Source organism: Homo sapiens, chromosome 13 (assembly GCF_000001405.40).
Source record: "Homo sapiens chromosome 13, GRCh38.p14 Primary Assembly".
In the NCBI taxonomy this organism is placed as follows: domain Eukaryota; kingdom Metazoa; phylum Chordata; class Mammalia; order Primates; family Hominidae; genus Homo; species Homo sapiens.
In genome coordinates this window covers 54,564,056-54,572,713 of record NC_000013.11, presented here as the reverse complement: position 1 = coordinate 54,572,713, position 8,658 = coordinate 54,564,056, and the positions used below count along the sequence as shown (strand labels likewise).

General features: G+C 35.8%; 1 annotated feature.

The window, feature by feature from the left end:
• Window positions 207-765: an enhancer, noted in NCBI's record as "H3K27ac-H3K4me1 hESC enhancer chr13:55146084-55146642 (GRCh37/hg19 assembly coordinates)". NCBI's record gives its function as "activates a minimal SCP1, AML or CMV promoter by ChIP-STARR-seq in primed H9 embryonic stem cells {active_cell/tissue: H9 hESC(primed)}" and the evidence as "EXISTENCE:reporter gene assay evidence [ECO:0000049][PMID:30033119]".

Below are 8,658 nucleotides of genomic sequence, written 5' to 3'. Positions count from 1 at the left end.
GTTTACCTAAGCAAGCCTGGGCAATGGCGGGCGCCCCTCCCCCAGCCTCGCTGCCGCCTTGCAGTTTGATCTCAGACTGCTGTGCTAGCAATCAGCGAGACTCCGTGGGCGTAGGACCCTTGGAGCCAGGTGCGGGATATAATCTCGTGATGCACCGTTTTTTAAGCCCGTCGGAAAAGCGCAGTATTCGGGTGGGAGTGACCCGATTTTCCAGGTGCCGTCCCGTCACCCCTTTCTTTGACTCAGAAAGGGAACTCCCTGACCCCTTGCGCTTCCCAAGTGAGGCAATGCCTCGCCCTGCTTCAGCTCGCGCACAGTGCACGCACCCACTGACCTGCGTGCGCCCACTGTCTGGCACTCCCTAGTGAGATGAACCCGGTACCTCAGATGGAAATGCAGAAATCACCCGTCTTCTGCGTCGCTCACGCTGGGAGCTGTAGACCGGAGCTGTTCCTATTCGGCCATCTTGGCTCCTCCCCACTTATCCTTACTATCTCATCTGGCCCATACACATATGATTCCTGCCTCACTGTTATAAGATCAGGCTATCATTGGCATTATCTTTTTTCCCTGTGAGGCCAATAATACTAATTTCATTATGTTCTAGTTTTTGGTATCTAAGGCAACATGAAGAATATAAGGACTCCATGTCATCCCTTTGTCACCAAGATTGTTACCCCTATATGGTTCGGTACATAGCATTCATGATCCATTGTGTCTCTAGAAGTTACTCGGTAACAAAATTTCCTGTATTCTGAATTTATTTTCTGAGTGCTCTTGAGATAGGAATTCTTGTGCAGTCCTATCACATAATTTTTCTCCCTGAAACCTGGTGGCACAGGATATGAGGGTAAGATAGGTTTTCTACTTATACATTATACAACTTCAAGACTATTGTTCTTCTATCCTAGTTAAAATATTAAAACAAAAACAGTAACAAAAATAACTGAGCTTTTTTGAATACCTAATAGCCTATAAATCACTAGCTTCTATATTACCATAATCTACCATTCCTCTAATCACTCATTCTTACTCATTTTATTATATGGTTTATTTATTCTCTTTTTTTTATATCTCTCCTACTACTCTTGCCATCCTTTTATGTTTATCTCAGGTCCATATAGAGGATTCATCCAACAATCTAACTTGTTATTTTCAATGCCTGTATCCTCCTTATCTCAATTACTTTCTACCATGCACACAGCCCAGAGCTTGGATTAACAACAGCTGTACCTTTTTCAACATAAAAATGTAAATAATTTCACCTTTTCTTTAATCTTTCCTCTTTCTTGTAAAATCTCTATAGCACATCTACCCCAACAATTATTCAATTGCATTGTGGCCTCTGAACAGTTGATCTTAATTTCTTTATTCTCAAGTGTCTTGGCTCTGTTCAGGGATTTCTTCTTTTTCTACATTTGCTCATTTGCTAAGTGATCTCAGCCAGTCTCCACATATGATGATAACTAATAAATTTGCATCTACAGCCCTGACATCCCCTCTGAGCTCAAGACCCAAATATTCTGATATCTTCACTTAGATGTCTAATATGCATCTCAAGCTTAGCATGACCAAAACAAAACCCCGTACTACCCCTGCCATAAAAATGTGATTTTGCTTTCAATGTTTTTCATCTTAACAAATGATACTACTACTCACAACGGGTCAAACAAGAAATCCTTGAGTCACCTTTGACTCCTCTTTCACACACTCCACATATATTATCCATGAGCATATGATGTATAATTTATTATTTAAAACAGAGGTACCCAACTCCCAGGCCGTGAACCAGTACTCGTCTGTGGCCTGTTAGGAACCAGGCAGCACAGCTGGAGGTGAGGAGAGGGCAAGCGATCATTACTACTTGAGCTCTGCCTCCTGTCACATTAGTAGTGGCATTAGATTCTCAAAGGAGCATAACCCCTAATGTAAACCACACGTGTAAGAGATCTCAATTGCATGCTTCTTATAAGAATCTAATTAATGCCTGATGATCTAGGTGGAACAGTTTTAGCCCCAAATCATCCCTCCCCACACTGGTGCCAAAAAGTTTGAGGGATCACTGATTTAAAACATTTTAAAATAGACAATACTATACAAATCTTATCCCATCTCACTTATTCTATTGCAATTACTCAGGCCAGCATCTGCTTCTAATACATTGGCTTTTATTATACCTTACTAATCAGTTTTCCTATAGCCTTCTTTCTTTCCTCTACCCCATTCATTTATATGACAAATTATATTCTCCTCTTTTCTCAACACTTCAATGGTTTTTTCTTAATATTTACAATAAAACTCTTACTATGTCCTAGAAAATTTAATATAATAGCTGTGTTTTCTGTACTGAAATTGTGAGTAGGTCCAATGATGAAAGATAAAATGAAATGGAAAACTAACTCTTTTAAAAAAATATGATGTAGCGAGAAATGGAGATTCTAGAATATGAAATTTAGGGCTAGACAACTTGTGCTGTTGTGCCCGATCCCCTTGTTCTTCCTTCTACTTGCTTACTCTAAGTGTGTGTAAAAAGCAATAAAGCCAATGTTATGGGTCCTTCTGACCTGGTGGATTCTTCCACAGACTTGGATCACTGAAGACATAGAATTTTGGACATATGCCAGTGAAGAATGCATATGGTACCAAGGAGCTGTGTCCAATTGCACTGTCATGTATCTTTGAGATCACATACCTCCTTTTTATTACTGTGGTTAGTGTGGGAGTCAGACAAAATTATTAATATCATGGGCTGAGTCCAAGTTATTGTTATTCTTATCAACCCATAATGCTGGATCAGCTTTCCATGTTTTCATCTGTTTTTGGTCTGTTCTTTTAAGACACCAAACATGCCTATCCCTGGGCTTTGTACTTGCTACAGCCATGATCATGAACGTTCTTGCTCCAAATAGTCATATGTTTTATTATTTTTAACTTCATTAAGTTCTCTTCCCAATTGCTTACTTTGCAGATATGCTTTCCCTGGATATTGAGGAAATTCTCATGGCTGCTGTACTGTCCTTGCCCTGATAGATTTACTAACTAAAATTACATTAACATTTTACTTGTTTTGTGGCTGAGTTTATCACTAAGGCCCGTGCTTAAAAATGTTGTGTCAATTTTTTCTCAGTATTGCCTCCTAGTTCTCAAAATTGTTTCTATTACATTTTAACAAAAAAATGTGTTGAATAAGTCTGAAGTTATCTAAATATAAACTCAACATAACTCAGTCTTTTAGTCCCTTGCACTTCGAGGCTCCAATGATTTTTATGTCTGCTCTAATTTGTTAATACCTCAGATTAGTGTTTTCTTTGCAAACATCTATAGACTTGAATTCTGACCACAACTACTTATCTCCCTATTTGTCTCATGCTTTCATTCCCAATAATCCTGATCTGCTACTTTATCTAGTCCTTAAATCTCTTAATACCCACTTTCATCTTTTTCTTGGCTAATACACCACCTCAATTCACCACCAACCCATGCTCAGATATTTATAAATTTCTGGGCCTTCCCACCATCATTTTTCACTTGAATTTCTCATATTTTTTTCTCTCAACTCCTTCAATATGTCAAGTTCCACATGTACCCTTTCTAAAATTCCCATTGAGTACATTTCTCCTTTTCAGCAAAGCAGTCTCCAAGTGAAATAAAAGAACCATCTGAGCAGTGGAGTTTCAATAAATGTACATTAAATTCCAATCTCAATGGAGGTATCAATATGGCTCAGAGAACTATTTCTGTCTTGCTCATCTCCTTTTATTACCATTAGCAGATATAGTGAAGTATAGAGAGCAATATCAAGCTATACATCTATCTCAAACACCCCCACTCTTGGCATATTATTTCACTTATTCCTTTACAGATGGGAAATAACAGATGAGGGTCTGTAATTCCTGTGTGTTACAACCAAATCACCTAATCATCTCTATACATAGCTCTTCTGTTTTCTTTCAATTTTAGAGACAGTAATGTTCCCTGTTTCTCTCTTCATTTTACTTTGCTTTTCTTTTTAAGCCAAAACTCCTCAAATTTGATGTCATATTTTCCTTCCTCTATAATACTATGATTACCAATTTTCCTCTCTCTTTTAAATATTTGGCTTTCCCTCCCAGCCTATTGGGTCTTTCCTACTTGCTTATTTTTCCACAAAACTCAAAGTCTAATACCATATTTTGATAAAACTTTTCTGATCTTACCTGGGTAGTTTATTCCTAACTCTGTATCACCATGTGGAAATTATATAGTCTTAGACCAAAAAGCTGGCTCTATCAGCAGCCATGTAAACAAGTAGCACAATTAAAATCTCTTCTGATCTTTGATTTGCATAATAGTTCTGCTGTGAAAAACAGATTATAATTAGAAGAATTTTTCCCCTGTATATAACTTCCCTTAACACATTGTGAAGCATCTCAAGGAAGAGCTTTGCTTTGTCCATGTGCCATTTTCCAGCCGTGTTGTTGGAGTAATTTCTTAAAACTATATATAGCATAAGAAAGAATAAATGAATAAATTTGTAAAATCTCTGGGAAGGCCAAAATTGTTTCTATCCACCCAAATCCCCTATGCATCCTTTATGTTTAGGGTAATGCTTATAAAAATGAGTCCTTGTAACAGAATATCCTTGACAAGCTTTTAACTTACAAAATATAGTGATGGAGACTTTCTCCCAAGATAACAAACTAAAAAAAATTATCATTCCTGCTAAAACTGTTCTAGTGTTTAGTAAATTAAATATATAATCTGTAATTTAGGAGCCATGAAGGGCTCCTTACACTTACCTCTGTCCTGGGCACCAGTCTCAATGCATTACCTCTTTCCCACACTGTAATTAATGAGAATTAGTTTTCTACTTTATATGCTTGCAAAAAGCAAACACAAAAGTAAGTGTCCGAAGACATATAAATTAAAATAAAGATATGGTAACTTTTAACTCAAATATATATTATACGGTAGAACTAGTAACACAGATGCCAATCTGATGCTTCAGGGCTTTGGAAATGCCTTCTCTTCCATTGCTGTCTTACTGTCATCCTTGGTTCAGCAGACGGACTTTAGGCAATGCCGAGAAAGGAACCCACAAGTTAGCATTCTGCTTGAGAGGTGACATATGTTTCCTCACCCACAACAATTCTACCAGATGTATTTTTCTGCTGAATTATTGCTCACTCTCAGAATAGTCACTATCCATCCCTTTGTTCCCATACTCTCCATTCTCACCCTGACCCTATTCTGGGTCTTAGTAGCATTTCTCTTCCATTATTTAGTAAACAAATAATGGGAACAAAAAGAGTGATTGGTTTGGCTGTCAAAAGTGAAAAAGTCATGGAAATGTTGCTGTCAGTACAATCAAGATGAATAACATATGACAATTAAAATCAAGGCTTTTTCATATGTTAGGTGGAATTGTCAACCAGAAATAACACGTATAAATCAAGGCCAAATAATGTGAAATGTTTGAATCATGTAAAAGTAAGTTTAGTTACACATAGGACAGTAATTGTGACTTCAGTAACATAAAAATTTAATTTTCTCACAAATAAAAGACCCTGAAGGAAGACAATTGAGGGCTGGTCTGATGGCTTCATAGCATCAGTGTCCTAAGCCCCCTCTGTTGTATCATTCTCACATCCATCTTCACCTGAGATCAGCACATGGTCCAAAATACTGCTAGAGCTCCAGCCATCATATCTGACTCCTAGCAGGAGGAATGAAGATGGGTCAAATATTTTGCCCACTTTGAAATTAGACGGACAGGTCCCAAAGTAACAGAAGTTTTACATTTCGTGATTTTATAATTATTGCATCAAATGTAATCAAAGATATCTTCTTTAATATGTAATACTTTAAAGATTATTGTTCCCAATGATGAATCATTAAAAATGATCTGGGTATATAACAGTAGTCATGTTTTAGATTTATATTTTCTTTGATACAAATGTAGTTTGCTTTTAATACATGATCTAGCAATGCTATTTCTCTAAGCATCCTAGCATCTATGCGTATATTAATAGTAAAAATTTAAAGAACTAGTGAGCTACAGCTATATAATTTCATGTTGAATTTAATGATCCATAAAACCACCTAAGGTTTCATCCTTTTCATATTTAGGCAAATTCAAATGTGTGGTTATTCTGAATTAATGAAATGTAATTAAAATGTTCTGAGAAATGCCAAAGACACATTAGCTTATATTTTAAATGACTTGTCATATATTTAGTAACTGTTTCTAAAGGACTACGGAAACCAACATTAATTCAGGCTCTGGAATTCAAACTTTAAGTTCCACTAAAAATAAGCAAATTAAAGATAGGTAAACAAGATTTTCAATTAAAATAGGAAACATATTCTGCTTAACTTGAAGCTATCACTCAATACATTCTTAGCATTTTGGATCTTACAAGGACTTATAACTTACTAGACTTCTTTAGACTTTTATACAAGGTTAAAGTTTTGAAACAAACATTACATTTTGTTATAAAGTTATTTGGAAGGCAATTTCAGGTGTTTCTCTCAAATAAACCCCAGTGCAAACATTCTACTATGCCTCTTGAGAATCTTTGTTTTGGAAACATTCATAAACTGCACCGATGTTGCAAGATGTTACAATGGGCATATCTATTAGGAAGAGATACACTTGGATTTTCTTTGAGTTTTATAAGATAAATTAATTAATTAGTGATTCAAATTTTAAATATAATATTATTTGTTATGTTTTTAATGTTTATCAAATGGATTGGAAAACAATGACAGTCAACGAAGTAAACATTGATAGTCAACAAAGTTAAAGATTTTTCGAATATTTTGTTGTTGAAAGAATCCAGTGAAAAAATTATAATGAGGTATTCAAAAACCCTACTAAAGGGCTCTGAAGTATAACAAATGTTTTTGCTTAAGTTCAAAACAGTATCATTTAAATGGTCTATAATTAATCTAATCCATGACATTAATTGTCAAATGTACTTCACAATGGAAGAGCTGCGACAGCTTAATTATTATATTTTAGGTAGTACTATCTTCTTCACATATTAACTTCAGTGGATTTAATAAGAAAAAAGATACTGCAAAGCATAAATGATCAAGTCATCCTCACATTCCTTTGCTTGATTACTCTCTCTCAAAAATCAGTGAATCCAGAAAATATGGCTCATGAGAGCTTTAAAGGCAAAATGTATCTAGAATCCACCCTTTCAAATTTGTGCATGTGCCTAGCCTTGTGTTTTCTGGTGCTTTCTATCAGGCTCCCAGTTGTTCCTTGCACTAGTTCTCCAGATTGTTCCCACTGGCTCTCTACTTGGGCTCCAGACATTTTCTTAATCCACCTCTGGCCTTTTCTCCAACTCCTCTATAAAATCACTAGTGATCTTAGAAATAATGGAGCTAGCTTAATAAACTAATATAAAGTGTTAATGATTTATATAGGTTTTAATTTTTTATGTTTTTTTTTCTGTGAAATTTATCATTTAATGGAAGGCACCAGACAAGGAAAATAGAGAAAAAAAGAAGACATTGGGGCAAATGACTATTTCAGTTACACTAACTTAAACCACAGAAGTATTCGCCTACCTCATTTGAGCCTAAAGCTGATCTAGCCAAATATTTTAAAGTCACTTTTTCAAAGTTAATTGGATCATACCTTAACATAGAGAACTTTTTTTACATTGAAGTTCTGTAATTTCCTTTTGTAGGTAATGATAGATAAATTTTCCACCTTACCTAGTTTTACAGAAAATAAAATGATTAAGATTATTCTGAGGACTTGGAATGAATGTTCATAACTGGGCAAACACAATATATACAATATGTAATTTTTAAACAACACGGTATGTGGAAAGGATAGGTAAAGCTGCTTCTCTAGCAAAGCAGCTCTCTCAAGATTGTATATATTGCCTCCCTATTCAAAATGATCCCACATAACTGTTCAATCCTAGTGGATATGTGGGATAAGATGTCTCCGTCTAGACAAGAGCTGTAAGTGCCGTGCCTAATTCAGCTTTTTCTAAGAGGTAATAAATTCATGCTTTTCCTCCTAAGTAAAAATGAATACCCACTCTCGTTCACTACCTTGTTTAAAAACATCCCTGAAAGTGTATACTTCTATGTATAATGATGTAGGAAGCAGCAAAAGCAAGATATCTTATGCCTTGTATATAAAAGTGATAACGGTAGTAAGAGCAAAATAAAACAGGAAGAGACACATTTTATTCAGAATACCTTCACATCTCACTTATAAATAGCCAGTCCTAGTCTCAGTTTGGGCACTGATTGTTGGCTTAGAAAACCTCCGGATGACCATGGCACTTTAATAGACATGGAAGTGGCCTTCTGAGCGTACCCGCTGTGTTCCGGTCAGAAGATGTCAATATATAACTAGCTCAGTGTTTGACAAAAAGGCTTAACCTCACCACCTGTCATTGCAGTTAGTTAATTGCTGCAACTTCTAGCACTGTAACCATCAATGATATTTTCTCTTTAGAAAATAAAGAAAATGGCTAATGAAAGATATTTTTATGAATGGTTATGAGACAAAAAATATAGTTCAAATTGAGAACACCATCATTTTCAGAAGTTGCACTTTACAAGGCAGCCTGTGGAAGTGATTTTCTCAGGCTCCCTTCTGGCCAATTCATGGAAAAGCAGTAATCAATCACAATTGTTTTA